This window comes from Homo sapiens, chromosome 19, assembly GCF_000001405.40.
Source record: "Homo sapiens chromosome 19, GRCh38.p14 Primary Assembly".
NCBI lineage: Eukaryota > Metazoa > Chordata > Mammalia > Primates > Hominidae > Homo > Homo sapiens.
This window is the reverse complement of record NC_000019.10, coordinates 7,209,835-7,224,228: the sequence shown is the minus strand read 5'-3', so window position 1 is coordinate 7,224,228 and position 14,394 is coordinate 7,209,835. Positions and strand designations below refer to the sequence as shown.

General features: G+C 49.4%; 1 protein-coding gene across 4 annotated transcripts in view, besides 4 other annotated features; it reads left to right on the top strand.

Annotated features, from left to right (window-relative positions):
• Nucleotides 1–14,394, top strand: part of INSR (insulin receptor) — a 182,150-nt gene that overhangs the window by 70,186 nt on the left and 97,570 nt on the right. The gene's annotated exons all lie outside the window — the stretch shown is intronic.
• Nucleotides 1,865–2,065: a silencer, noted in NCBI's record as "peak3317 fragment used in MPRA reporter construct". NCBI's record gives its function as "represses an SCP1 promoter by STARR-seq MPRAs in K562 erythroleukemia cells {active_cell/tissue: K562}" and the evidence as "EXISTENCE:reporter gene assay evidence [ECO:0000049][PMID:32103011]".
• Nucleotides 7,405–7,474: an enhancer, noted in NCBI's record as "active region_13874". NCBI's record gives its function as "activates an Ori minimal core promoter by ATAC-STARR-seq in GM12878 lymphoblastoid cells {active_cell/tissue: GM12878}" and the evidence as "EXISTENCE:reporter gene assay evidence [ECO:0000049][PMID:35858748]".
• Nucleotides 10,571–11,116: an enhancer, noted in NCBI's record as "NANOG-H3K4me1 hESC enhancer chr19:7213124-7213669 (GRCh37/hg19 assembly coordinates)". NCBI's record gives its function as "activates a minimal SCP1, AML or CMV promoter by ChIP-STARR-seq in primed H9 embryonic stem cells {active_cell/tissue: H9 hESC(primed)}" and the evidence as "EXISTENCE:reporter gene assay evidence [ECO:0000049][PMID:30033119]".
• Nucleotides 11,117–11,663: an enhancer, noted in NCBI's record as "NANOG-H3K27ac-H3K4me1 hESC enhancer chr19:7212577-7213123 (GRCh37/hg19 assembly coordinates)". NCBI's record gives its function as "activates a minimal SCP1, AML or CMV promoter by ChIP-STARR-seq in naive and primed H9 embryonic stem cells {active_cell/tissue: H9 hESC(naive and primed)}" and the evidence as "EXISTENCE:reporter gene assay evidence [ECO:0000049][PMID:30033119]".

The window sequence follows — 14,394 nt, the reverse complement described above, 5'->3', positions numbered from 1 at the left end:
AGCTCACTCCTGTAATCCCAGCACTTTGGGAGGCTGAGGCAGGCGGATCACGAGGTCAAGAGATCGAGACCATCCTGGCCAACGTGGTGAAACCCCGTCTCTACTAAAAATACAAAAATTAGCTGGGTGTGGTGGTGTACGCCTGTAGTCCCAGCTACTGGAGGCTGAGGTGGGAGAACGGCTTGAACCCAAGAGGGAGAGGTTGCAGTGAGCCGAGATCATGCCACTGCACTCCAGCCTGGGTGGCAGAGCGAGACTGGTCTCAAAAAAAAAAAAAATTTTTTTTTGTTCCAGTCTATTCTGGTGGCTTAGAGGAGGGAAGATGGGAAATTTTGGGTTTAATAGAGTAATATCCATCAGGTTGAGGGCTTTGAAGCACCTGGGAATATCCATAAGTCACTACTGAGCACCAGCTGTATAGAGTTATTGAGCATGTATTGTCTCCCAGGCACATGGTCCTCACAACAATCTTTTCACAGAGCTAGGATTTGAACCCACAGTCTCTCTGGCTTCAGAACCCTAGCTTTTCTTGCTATACTCTGCCTTACAGAGGAAGGGAACTTTTGTACTGGGTTTTGAAGGGTGAATAGGAGTTCAATGAAGAAGCAGCACATTCTGTGCTAAATTTGGCTTCCTGATCCTCCTAGAATTGGCCAGAAGCCAATATCTGGAGGCCAAAATTGGGTCACTAGGGTGACCAACTCATCACAGGGCCCTGGATTATCTCTGCAAAAGCCCACCTGCTACTGGTTAGCCAGGACCATCACAGTGTGCCCAGGTAACCCTGCGTTTCACCCCAAAGCAGAATTTTACACCAGAGCCTGGACACCAGTTGAATTTTCTTTAACTCATTTCTGTCAATGGTTACCTCCAAAAATGCTCCCTTGTGTCTTTATGCTGGGCTTCTTTCTCTAGATACTTCCATTTCTTGGTTTGGGTGAAAATCAAATGAGGTAATTAATGCTTGTGACATGTAAAGTGTAGTGAGTGGCACATGGTAACCTCTTTAGTTTTAGCCAGTTGGTTTTTTTTGTTTGTTTGTCTTTGAGACAGAGTCTCACTCTGTCACCCACGCTGGAGTGCAGTGGCGCAGTCTCAGCTCACTGCAACCTCTGCCTCCCAGGTTCAAGCAATTCTCCTGCCTCAGCCTCCCGAGTAGCTGGGATTACAGGTGCACGCCACCACACTGGGCTAATTTTTGTATTGTTAGTAGAGATGGTGTTTTGCCATGCTGGCCAGGCTGGTCTCAAACTCCTGACCTCAGGTGATCCGCCCTCCTTAGTCTCCCAAAGTGCTGGCATTACAGGCATGAGCCACAGTGCCCAGACAGTTTTAGCCAGTTTTTCACTGGCCTCCCTCTTTGCCTTTTTTGCAAGGGAGCTGGCCTCCCTGTCCCTGGAGTAAGCAAACTTCCTTATACCTATAGCTTCCTCTAAGGAAGCGTAGTTACCTACAGCCTGGCCCTCCCCAAGGACACAGCTGTTTCCTCCACCAAGAGCAAGGAGTGGACATAATCACTGCCAAATAGGGAAGCCAGGCTGGACACCGTGGCTCATGCCTGTAATCCCAGCACTTTGGGAGGCCGAGGTGGGAGGATCACTTGAGGCCAGGGATTCAAGACCAACCTGGGCAATGTAGCAAGACCCTGTCTCTAAACAAATAAAAAAATTAGCCAGCTGTGGTGGCCCATGGCTGTAGTCCCAGCTACTCCAGAGGCTGAAGCAGGAGGATTGCTTGACCGCAGGAGTTTGATGCTGCAGTGAGCTACGGTCACACCACTGAACACCAGCCAGGACAACAGAGCAAGACCCTGTCTCTTAAAAAAACAAAAAAATAAGGAAGCCAGATGGGTGCTGGGTGTACGGGACACATGTCAAAAGTCAGACCTCTATCTGAGTAAGGAAACAGGTTCAGAGTCAGGATTAAAGACCAAGACAGCTTGAGGTCATCAGAGGCCAGGAATTTCCATACAGGCTGCGGTCCAAAGTGCCAAGCTGGGCTAGATAGATGTTGGGGAAGAGTCTCTGTCGCCCTCTTTCCTTCCCCGTTAATGCTATCAGCTGAGCATGGGTCACTCCTGATTTTTTTTTTTTTTTTTTTTACCGAGGACATAGGCTCAGAGTGTCTTCTAGCTTTCAACCCACCCCAGACTCTGACTTAGCCTTTCCCAAATGGTGCTGTGCAGAAAAATGAAAAAATTGCTAGGAGGATCATGTGCCTGGTGGATAGTACATGCTTGATAGCTGTAAACAGTTGGTGCTCAATATATCGTGGCTTGTGGATCTTCCCAGCTGCTTCAGAACCCCAAGCCTGCTGTATAATTGTACTTGATCCCGACAACAGCCCTGCCAGATGGGTGTTACTCTGATTCCTGTGTCCTGGTAAGTGGACGGGGGGCCTGGAGTAGCTGAATTGCCTAGAGAAGGGGACATAGCTAGAAAGGAAAAGTTGAAACCCAGTGTGATGCCAGAGTCCATGCAAACTTTATCCTGAAAGGAGGGATCTCTTTTTTTTTTTTTCTGAGATGGAATCTCACTCTGTAGCCCAGGCTGGAGTGCAGTGGTGTGATCTCGGCTCACTGCAACCTCCGCCTCTCAGGTTCAAGCGATTCTCCTGCCTCAGCGTCCCAAGTAGCTGGGATTACAGACGTGTGCCACCACAACCGGCTCATTTTTGTGTTTTTAGTAGGGACGGGGTTTCGCCGTGCTGGCCAGGCTGGTCTCGAACTCCTGACCTCAGGTGATCCGCCCGCCTCGGCCTCCCAAAGTGCTGGGATTACAGGCGTGGCCACTGCGCCCAGCCTTCTTCTTCTTCTTCTTCTTTCCTCCTCCTCCTCCTCCTCCTCCTCCTTTTTTTTGACAGAGTCTCACTCTATTGCCCAGGCTCGAGTGCAGTGGCACAATCTCAGCTCACTGCAACCTCTGCCTCCTGGGTTCAAGAGATTCTCCCACTTCAGCCTCCCGAGTAGCTGGGATTACAGGTGCGCAACACCACAGCCGGTTAATTTTTGTGTTTTTGGTAGAAACGGGGTCTCGCCACGTTGGCCAGGTTAGTCTCAAACTCCTCACCTCAAGTGATCCGCCCGCCTCAGCCTCCCAAAGTGCTGGGATTACAGGCGTGAGCCACTGCGCTCGGCCTGGTGAAGACCTTCTTGCCGGTGGGGACTCTGCAGAGTCCTGACAGGGAGCAGGGCATCACATGGCGAGGGAGCTGAGAGTGTCAGCTCAGGTCTCTCTTCCTCTTCTTATAAAACCACCAGTCCCACTCCTATGATAAACCATTAATCCATGAATGGATTAATCCACTTATGAGGACACAGCCCTTTTAATCACCTCTGAAAGGCCCCACCTCTCAATGCTGCCACATGAGGAATTACATTTCAACATGAGTTTTGGAGGGGACAAATATTCAAATCATACTATTATGTTACCAGTAAAATTTAAAATATAGGAATAATAATTGCCGATGTGTGGCAGACTTACCAAATACTAGACCCTGTGCTAAGTGTTTTATATCTATTATTTTATTTAATTTTCTTGGTCACTGCATAACATATGCTCTGTTAGTCCCAGTTTTTCGAATGGGCATAACAAGACCGAACCTACCTAGAGTTGGCACAAGTTGTAAAAATAGGATCCGTGGCCGGGCACAGTGGCTCACACTTGTAATTCCAGCACTTTAGGAGGCCAAGGCGGGAGGATCACCTGAGGTCAGGAGTTCGAGACCAGCCTGGCCAACATGGCGAAACCCCGTCTCTACTTAAAATACAAAAATTAGCCAGGCGTGGTGGCGCGCCTGTAGCCCCAGCTCCTCGGGAAACTGAGGCAGGAGACTCGTTTGAACCCGGGAGGCGGAGGTTGCAGTGAGCCAAGATCGCACCACTGCACTCCAGGCTGGGCGACAGAGCGAGACTCCATCTCAAAAATAAAATAAAACAAAAAAATAGGATTCACTTTTGCCACCAACTTGAAAAGGAGGCAAACACAAGATTACTCATCTCTGGAGAGGAGGCATTCAGATTTGCCTACTCAGCATTCCTGGAGATAGAACCAGATTTTGCATGGGTTAGAATCATATTTTGCTTGGGAAGCCACTCAGACCTCATTGTGTGGACTCTATTCCCAGAGCCAGCTTCCTTTATTCCTTCAGACTCTTATGATTGGCTCAGGGGAAGGCACATGACTCAGACTGGGCCAATCAGCTTTCTTAATTCCTCCAGCCTCCATGATTGGTTCAGGGGTGGGCATGTGACCCCAGAAGGTTCCATAAGATTCAGTTCTGGGACTTTAGTGGGAGTGATAGAGAGATTTTTCCTTGCTAAATCTTCCTTGCTGTGAAGCTATAATCCAGGTGCCACCATGTAGAGACCACGTGTCTCAGACTTCTGACACCATAGAAGGAAGCAGGACTGCGAAAAGGAAAGGGAGAGAGATGGGGTCCCCATGACATCATTTGACACCTGGATCTAGCTGTACCTGAAAGTGTCCTTGTCCTATGACTTGTTAGTTAAATGAGCCAGCAATCGTTCTTTTCTTTTTTTTCATTTTCTTTCTTTCCCTTCCTTCCCTCCTTCCCTCCTTCCTTTCCTTTCTTTTCCTTTCCCTCCCTCCTTCCCTCCCTCCCTTCCTTCCTTCTCTCTCTCTTCCCTCCCTTCCTTCCTTCCTTCTCTCTCCCCCTTCCCTCCCTCCCTCCCTTCCTTCCTTCCTTCTTTCCTTCGTTCCCTCCCTCCCTCCTTCCTTCCTTCCCTCCCTCCCTTTTCTCTCTCTCTCTCTCTTCTTTCTCTCTGTATAACTGAGCTTTCTATTCTCACAAACTGAAAGAGGTCTTGCTAATCCAAGGCATGACAATCAGAGCAACATGTGAAGCCCAAAGAGCTGCAGAGCTCCCCTCCATGGCTTCCAGCCCCGGGGGTGGTCAGTGAAAGTAACTGGAGCCCGGAGCTTCAGAGGCCAGTGTGGAGGTTGGAAAGGTTGTGGTCAGGAGAGAGTAATATATCTGGTCCCTGCAACAGACACCCCTGCAGTTTTATCCTGAATCCTGGGTAATTTCCCCAGGTCCTGGGAAGCCTAATAAAGCCCCTACTCAGATGTTGGATTGCAAGTCCTTTTTGTTTGTTTGTTTTTTAAATCCACTTTAAATATGTCTGAAAACCACACACAGAGTGACTGCTGCACAGAAGAGCGAATGGTTCATGCCTTCTTCTTTGCTGCCACCAACAAGTCAGTTACCTACTTCTCTGACATGGGACCCTTGGCTGGAGCTCACTGGCTGCCTTCCTGCCACCTGTAAGCCTCGGCACTTGCTGTTCCCTCTACCTACATGCTTTTCCCTGTGATACTTCCTCATACGATTTCCTCAGATTATCTTTGCTCAAACAACAGGCAAGGGCTGGGCCTTAATCTCACACCTGTAATCTCAGCACTTTGGGAGGCCAAGGCAGGTGGATCACCTGGGGTCAGGAGTTGGAGACCAGCCTGGCCAACATGGCGAAACCCCATCTGTACAAAAAATATACAAAAAATTAACCAGATGTGGCAGCGGGTGCCTCTGATCCCAGGGACTTGGGTGGCTGAGGCAGGAGAATCACTTAAACCCAGGAGGCAGAGGTTGCAGTGAGCCGAGATCATGCCACTGCACTCCAGCCTGGGCAACAGAGCGAGACTTCGTTTCATAAAAACAAAGAAACAAACAAACAGAAAAAAACAACAAAACAAACAAACAGAAAAAACCAACAAAACAAAAAACAAGAGGCAAGAAGTTCAGTGTGCAGAATCTCTGAGAAAAACCCATGGTTGTTAACCCCAGGTCTGCCCCTTTTGAGCAGGGTGACATTAGGCAACTGATTTGATTTCTCTTAGATGAAATTTCCTCACTCCCTGCCTATTCAACCACAGTACTGAGGACATTTGGAGCTGGATTATCTCTCTGGTGGCAGCTGTCCTGGGCATTTTAGGGTGTTTACTAGCATCCCTGGCCTCCCCCCACTAGATACCAGTAGCACTCCCACCCCACACTGGTTGCAACAACCAGAAATGTCTCCAAGACACTTCCACGTGACCCCCGGGGGGTCAGAATTTCTCCCCTTCCCCCTGTGTTTTCCTATGGAGGTGGAACGTGTTTATTTCTTTGCTCACCGTTTTGCAATCTCTCTTCCCCCGCCACAAGGCAGGGACTCTTCTATCTCCGTCACCATCCCATCCTCCCACAGTGGAGACAGCTCTGGGGACTCTCCTGAGCAGCAGATTCTTGGGTGCCACATTCTGTTCCATTCCTGGGGAATTTATCTCTTTACTGAGTGATGGGTACATGAGAACTTTCTGTGTCACCCTTGCATCTTTTCTGTTTTGTTTTTACAAAAGAAAAAAAAGAAGGCCGGGTGCGGTGGCTTACGCCTGTAATCCCAGCACTTTGGGAGGCCAAGGCGGGTGGATCACGAGGTCAGGAGATCGAGACCATCCTGGCTAACACGGTGAAACCCCGTCTCTACTAAAAATACAAAAAATTAGCCAGGTGTGGTGGCGGGCTCCTGTAGTCCCACCTACTTGGGAGGCTGAGGCAGGAGAATGGCATGAACCTGGGAGGCGGAGCTTGCGGTGAGCCAAGATCGTGCCCACTGCACTCCAGCCTGGCAGACAGAGCGAGACTCCGTCTCAAAAAAGAAAAAAAGAAAAAAGATATCACTCGATGACTGCTACCGAAACATTCTGTGGCTGGGAGAGGAAAATACCAGAAAGGGTGAATGTGGTCGGTTGAATGATGCCTCTCCCTTCCCCCAGAGATGCCCACATCGTAATCCCTGTCACCTGTGAATTTGGTACCTCACTTGGCACAAGGCTCTTTGCAGATGTGATTAAGTTGAGGATCTTGAGACGGGGGGATGATCCTAGATTATCTGGTGCACCAAATGCCATCGCAGGGATCCTTTTCAAGGAAAGAGGGAGGCAAGAGATTGAAATGCTACGGCCAAGAAAAAGGAGCTGCCTTAAAAGCTGGATTCTCTCTGGAGCCTCCAGAAGGAACCAACCTTTGTAACATCTTGATTTTAGCCCTGTAAGACTCATTTTGGGCTTTTCACCACCAAAACTGTAAGAAAATAGGCAGGCCATGATGGTTCATGCCTGTAATGCCAGTACTTTGGGAGGCCAAGGTGGGACGATTTCTTGAGGCTAGGAGTTTGAGACCAGTGTGGGCAACATAGCAAGACCCCATCTCTACAAAAAAAAAAAAAAGAAGAAGAAGAAGAAGAAAAATTAGCTGGGCTTGGTGGCACACATCTATATTCCCAGCTACTTGGGAGGTTGAGGTGGGAGGATTGCTTGAGCCCAGGAGTTCGAGGCTGCAGTGAGCCATGATTGCACCATTGCACTCCAGCCTAGGCAACAGAGTAAGATCCCGATGCAGGAGAAAATAATAAATGTATGTCGTTTTACATTTGTGGGCGTTTGTGACAGCAGCAATGGGAAATGGATACGGTGAGAAACCCAGCACCTGGGCCTGGAAACCCCCTCTGGGCGGGTCTCTAGCCAGGGGCCAACAGGAGTCAGAGCAGGGCCTTGGTGAGAGGTGGATACGGGGCCCCAGCATCCTGATGGCCTTGCTGTGGCTTCTGGGGACACCTGCAGTGGCTCCATTACACCGTGGCAATTTGTTCCTTCCCAGACCCCCTGGATACAAGGGGCCTGCATTTTCGAACCCAGAGCCCGGGGACATCCCCCGTGGTTCCCTGTTACCCTCTGGATGTCTGTCCTGCTACTATGCACCTCTCCCCAACTCCTGGTACACAGTGGGAGTTCAGGGGCCGTCTCATTTGTACCGCATAACATCACGGAGGTCCAAGACGCCATGTAATATTCTGTTTAGGATTTCAGAGGCACAGTCAGTTACATCCATCTTCTTTTTGTCTTTGAGACAGAGTCTTGCTCTCTTGCCCAGGCTGGAGTGCAATGGCACGATCTCAGCTCACTGCAACCTCTGCCTCCTGGGTTTAAGCAATTCTCTTGACTCAGCCTCCCAAGTAGCTGGGATTACAGGTGCACGCCACCACACCTGGCTAATTTTTTGTACTTTTAGTAGAGACGGGGTTTCACCATGTTGGTCAGGCTGATCTAGAACTCCTGACCTCAGGTGGTCCACTCACCTTGGCCTCCCAAAGTGCTGGGATTATAGGCGTGAGCCACCGTGCCCAGCCTGCTTCCATCTTCTTAGCCACTTTTCCCTCAGGTGAGACCATGAGATTAGGAACCTGTTTCAATTCCCGTCGGAATTTCCCAACAGAGCTGGGGCTTTGTGATTCGAATATGTTCAGAGAAGGAAGCAGAAGGAAGCAGAAATGAAGGATGTTATCAGAAAAGGAGACTCAGGGTTGGGTGTGGTGGCTCACGCCTGTAATCCCAGCACTTTGGGAGGCCAAGGTGAGTGGATCACCTGAGGTCAGGAGTTTGAGACCAGCCAGGCCAACATGGTAAAACCCTGTCTCTACTAAAAATTACAAAAATTAGCCAGGCGTGGTGGCATGCGCCTGTAATTCAAGCTACTCGGGAGACTGAGGCAGGAGAATCACTTGAACCCGGGAGGCGAAGGTTGCAGTGAGCCAAGATCATGCCACTGCACTCCAGCCTGGGTGACAGAGCAAGACTCCATCTCAAAAAAATAAATAAATAAATAAATAAATACAGGAAAAGGAAGCTCGGTAGTTTTCAGGGGCTGCTGGCGTTTCCAAGCTTTAGGCATTTTGCTTTGAGTCTTTTTCTGTCTTTCGAGTCATCCTGAAGTGGAACCGAGAGAGGACTGAGTGGGTGGAGGGGGTGGTGGTGGGGACGGCTGTCTGCTCTGCTGGAATTGAGAGTCTGGGAGATCATTGTGGTGTTTTTGGAGTGATTCTTAACCCCAGATATAGACAGTGACACAAGGGGCATAAATACGAGGAACAGTGACCTTCCCTGGTGTCCTTGTTTGAAGCATTTGACCATCTGGGCAAGGCCTGGGAGTGTCTGAACTGGCTGGTGCTTCCATGAACAAGCACAGACTCAGAGCCCATGGTCCTGGGTTCGAATCCTAGTTCTTCCACTTCTTTGCTGTATGACCTTTGTCTACAAAAAATAAAAATTTAGCCAGGCACAGTGGCGTGTGCCTGTAGCCCCAGCTACTCGGGAGGCTGAGGCAGGAAGATCCATTGAGCCCAGGGGTCGAGGCTGTAGTGAGCTATGATTGCACCACTGCACTCCAGCCTGGGCAACAGAAGCAGACCCTGAAGAAAGAAAGAAGCTGGGAAGACAGGGAAGAAGGAAGGAAGAAAGGAGGGAGGGAGAGGGGAAGGAAGGAAGGAAAAAAAAGGGAGGGAACAAGGAAGGAAGGAAGGAGGTGGGGACGGAGGGAAGAAGGAAGGAAGGAGGGAGGGAAGGAAGGAAAGGGAGGGAGGGGAGGGAGGAGGGAGGGAGGGAAGAAAAAAAGGGAAGGGAAGGAACTTTGGAACTACTGAACATCTCTGTTTCCTCATCTATAAAAAGAGGGATAAGTCATCATCATATCTTCCTCTATGGTCATTGAGTGGATGAAATAAGACAGCATTTGCAAATCCCCTAATGCATACCTGGCCCCTGATTTTGTTCCTTGGGCTGCAGCGATGATAGAGGTTTAAAACCTCCAAACGCTGTGTTGAAATCTCTCACGTGGACAACCAGCCCACCAGCAGAGAATGTCATTTTTCCATCCTGGGTAAACAGGGTAGAGAAGAATGAGGACCTCAGGCCAGGTTAGAGAGACCTCGCTTGGTGACCTTGGGAAGGCTTTTAACTTTTAACTTTAATGCTAACATCTGGTTCCCTCCAGTTAGGCAGTCGGCGGCCTAGCCGTCTTGTCTTGAAGTTTCTCTTGCCTTCCATCATGGGTTTATTTGTTCAGCAAATGTTTATGGAGGGCCAGCACAGGGGGGAATAAGAACTAGAGTTCTGGGAGGACGTGTGAAGAAACAAGTTCCGAGCCCCAGGGAGGAAAGAGGTCATTGCCTCCCTCTGGGGAAAATGTCTCTTCTCATACCTGGTTCACTTCTTAAATGGAATTTCCCCCTTCAGATGAGTAAGGCGTTTAATCACAAAGAGAAAACACCTTCATCACATAGCCATCCTTAAAAGGCATTTATTGTGAAGCTGGTTCATAGACTTCTCGCCCAGGTTGCTAACAGCCAACCTGTCTGGGTTTTGGGAAGTTAAAGTGTCTGTATCCCATTTCCTTTTTTTTTTTGAGACAAAGTCTTGCCCTGTCACCTAGCCTGGAGTGCAATGGCACAATCTCTGCTCACTGAAACCTCTGCCTCCCGGGTTCAAGCGATTCTCCTGCCTCAGCCCTCCCGCGTAGCTGAGATTGCAGGCGTGCACCACCACGCCTGGCTAATTTTTTGTATCTTTACTAGAGATGGGGTTTCACCATGTTGGTCAGGCTGGTCTCGAACTCCTGACTTCGTGACTCACCAGCCTCAGCCTCCCAAAGGGCTGGGATGACAGGCGTGAGCCACTGTGCCCAGCCAGTTCTGACTTTTTAACTTGTGATTTGACTTTTCCTGTCTGAAGTCTTTCTCTGCTGGACGTGAGTTGTTGAAGGTGTTGCTTTTCTTTGTAGACAATTAGAGGCGCTCATGCACTGGGCTATGGACAATAATACTTTGAAGATGTGCAAATGATTTGCAACCTTTGTTGCATAAATTATCCCTCTGAGATGCTGTTTGGCTTGATAAATAAAGGACCTGCAAGAGAGAATTTATCTTGAGCATTCCTTGGGGGAGAGAAGCAAAGGGGAAGTGAATGCTGCATAATAATTCTTTGCATACTTTATGGAGGGTGGGTTCCTGCAGTGCCCTGTAGGGTTTTTTGTTTGTTTTTTTTTTTTTTTTTTGAGATGGAGTCGCTCTGTAGCCCAGGCTGGAGTGCAATGGTGCGATCTTGGCTCACTGCAACCTCCGCCTCCCGGGTTCAAGCGATTCTCCTGCCTCAGCCTGCCAAGTAGCTGGGACTACAGACGTGCTCCACCACGCCCAGCTAATTTTTGTATTTTTAGTAGAGACAGGGTTTCACCGTGTTAGCCAGGATGGTCTCGATCTCCTGACCTCGTGATCCGCCCACTTCGGCCTCCCAAAGTGCTGGGATTACAGGCGTGAGCCACCGCGCCCGGCCCCCTGTAGTGGTTTAAAGCATCTTCACTGTTATTCTAAGCCTCACATTTTAAACAGAGCTGAAAAAGGACTCTAATTGCTGGCCTGGGATCCTTGTGTGCTGTAGGAATTCACTGAGGGGGCGGGGCTGGAGAGGGCTGCTAGAGGGTGGTACAGAAGCAGATGGAACTTTCTCTCTGGCTGGACACAGTAGCTCACACCTGTAATCCCAGCACTTTGGGAGGCTGAGGTTGGTGGATCACCTGAGGTCAGGAGTTCGAGACCAGCCTGGCCAACATGGTGAAGCCCCGTCTTTACTAAAAATACAAAAAATTAGCAGGACGTGGGGGTGGGTGCCTGTAGTCCCAACTACTTGGGAGGCTGAGGCAGGAGAATCGCTTGAACCCGGGAGGTAGAGCTTGCAGTGAGCCGAGATCATGCCATTGCACTCCAGCCTGGGCAACAAGAGTGAAACTCCATCTCAAAAAAACCCAAAAATAAATTTAAAGAAAAATTTTCTCTCTGATTCTGCCTGCCTGCCTGCTAGACTGGAAGCACCATGAGGTCAAGGTCCACGATGTCTTGTCGCTATTGAAGCGCCTCCAAAACATGGCAGACCCTCAGCAAATCTTGGACAGATGAATGGGCATTCGATTCAACATGTGTCTGCTAGGTGGGAGCTGAGCGGGAATCGCAGGGCTTGGGTCCCGGGGATGATGGGGAATGGCAGTGTGACTGTGGGGAAGCCAGGGGAATGGGGTGCTGGAGCCCCCAAAGCTATAAATCAGGGCCTGATGAACAGACAGACAGATGGACCAACTTAACCATTTCAGCCCCATCGGCTTTGATGATTTCCCTCTGGCTCTGGCAAGAGTCTCGCTCACCAAGTGGTTCTCACCCTAGGGTGGGTCTGGATATTTCTGGGGACATCTGTGGTTGTCACACGTCGGGGTGGGGGGAGATGCTCCTGACATGGAGTGGGTGGAGGCCAGGGATACTGCTCAGCACCCTGCAATGTACAAGACGGCCCCTCCCCAGATGAAGATCCGACTCTGAATACCACCAGTCCTGAGGCTGAGAAACCCTACTTTAAGATAACAGTGATGGGGGAATTATCCACCCCAGAGTCTGAGTCTGTGACTTGGGAAACGGCCCCGGCATTACCAGGTGTTGAATTCGTGAGAATACAAGGAGAAGGCGTGTAGCCCGTGACCCAGTCCTGCCCCAGACAAACCGATATTCCCTCCAAAGCTCTATTTGGCAGAAGAAGTGTTTTCGTTCCCTCTTGCCTGTGGTATCTCCCCTGATAAGCGTTGTGGATTGTTCCAGACCGTGTTGACGGGGACAGCTTCCTTCTCCGCGGCTGCCGGCCCTGACCCTGCAGCTTTCAGTCTGTGGGAGTAGAGTCAGCTGTTGAGCAGTTTACTCTGTCCCTGTGTCAATGGGATTGTGCATGTTTTGGTTCCTGAGGGGTCATTGATGGTGCACTTTTCTTTTGTTGTTAGTCAATTTAATTTGTTACTAATAATAAAATCTGGAACTTACCTGACCCCAAAGGCCCAGGTCGTTAAGAATGCTTGGTGGAATGCACGTCCTTTTCAAATACCGGCTCCTTTGGAAAACACAGAGGATGGAGTGAAATCCTTACCTGGATTGTACTGGCAGTGGGATGACAGCGTCACCTCCTGAAAATGGAATGTAGCTTATTGCTAAATAAGACAGCGCAGTGCCTCCCTCGCACCTGTCATCTTGGTGCTTAGAGAGGCCAAGGTGGGAGGAATTCTCGAGGCCAGGAGTTCAAAACCAGCCTGGGCAATACAGAAAGAGCCTATTTCTACTACAAATATAAAAATTAGCTGGGCATGGTGACATGCACCTGTAGTCGCAGCTACATGGGAGGCTGAGGTGGGAGAATCGCTTAAGCCCAGGAAGTCGAGGCTGCAGTGAGCTGTGACTTGCTACTGCACTCCAGCCCATGCAGCTGAGCGAGATCCTCTTTCAAACAAACCAGCCAACTAACAAGCAGGCCCCAAGGGGACAATTTTTCTGGAATTACCTGATTGTATCAAGAACAGTTTGATCAACACCTGTAATCCCAGTACTTTGGGAGGACGGATCACTTGAGGTCAGGAGTTAGAGACCAGCCTCGCCAACATGGTGAAACCCTGTCTCTACTAAAAATATAATAATTAGCTGGGCATGGTGGTGGGTGGCTGTAATCCCAGCTACTTGGGAGGCAGAGGCAGGAGAATTGCTTGAAACCGCGAGGCAGAGGCTGCAGTGAGCTGAGACTGTACCACTGCACTCCAGCCTGGGCCACAGAGTAAGACTCTGTCTCTCTCTGTCTCTCTGTCTCTGTCTCTCTCTCTCCATATATACATATATATTTATATATATAACTTATCTTGAAGACGGTTTTGGCACGCCTTAACTTTTATGCCAGAGGCCAGTGCCTTGCTTGTGTCACCCTGGTTCCAAGAATCTGCATAGTTTTTCCCAGCCCATTCTACAGACAGGGAAACTGAGGACCAGGCACACTAGGTTCCCCTCCAGGAGTCGCACAGCGAGGAGAAAGTGGAGCCATGACTTGATGCCAAACACTGAGACTCCAGAACCCATATTTTCTCAGCTCTTAGGTTTTTGTCAATTTCCTAAATTTGTGTGTGTTTTAGTGGGGCTGAGTTTCTCCTGTTAATTTGTTTATGGAGAGGAGACACTCTTGTTTACTTTTTTTTTTTTTTTTTTGAGACAGAGTCTCTGTTGACCAGGCTGCAGTGCAATGGCTCAATCTCGGCTCACTGCAACCTCCACCTCCTGGGTTCAAGCGATTCTCCTGCCTCAGCTTCCCGAGCAACTGGGATTACAGTCACACACCACCACACCTGACTAATTTTTGTATTTTTAGTAGAGATGGGGTTTTCCCATGTTGATCAGGCTGGTCTCAAACTCCTGACCTCAGGTGATCCACCCGCCTCGGCCTCCTAAAGTGCTGAGATTACGGGTGTGAGCCACTGCGCCTGGCTCTTGGCGTTCTCCCTTAGTAATACTTCTTGGGGGTCATTTTGAATCTCTGTTTCTTCTGTGGTCACGTTCATTTGGAATTTACTTATTCAACCCACAACCAATAGACATTTCCAGCCCTTTGTTAGTATAAACAGAACTTCTCTTTGACTTTCACAGCGTTTTTGTTCTGGAGGTGCTATCCTTGATTGCTAAGACACCCACGACATTGCTCTTGGAATTGGAGTAGG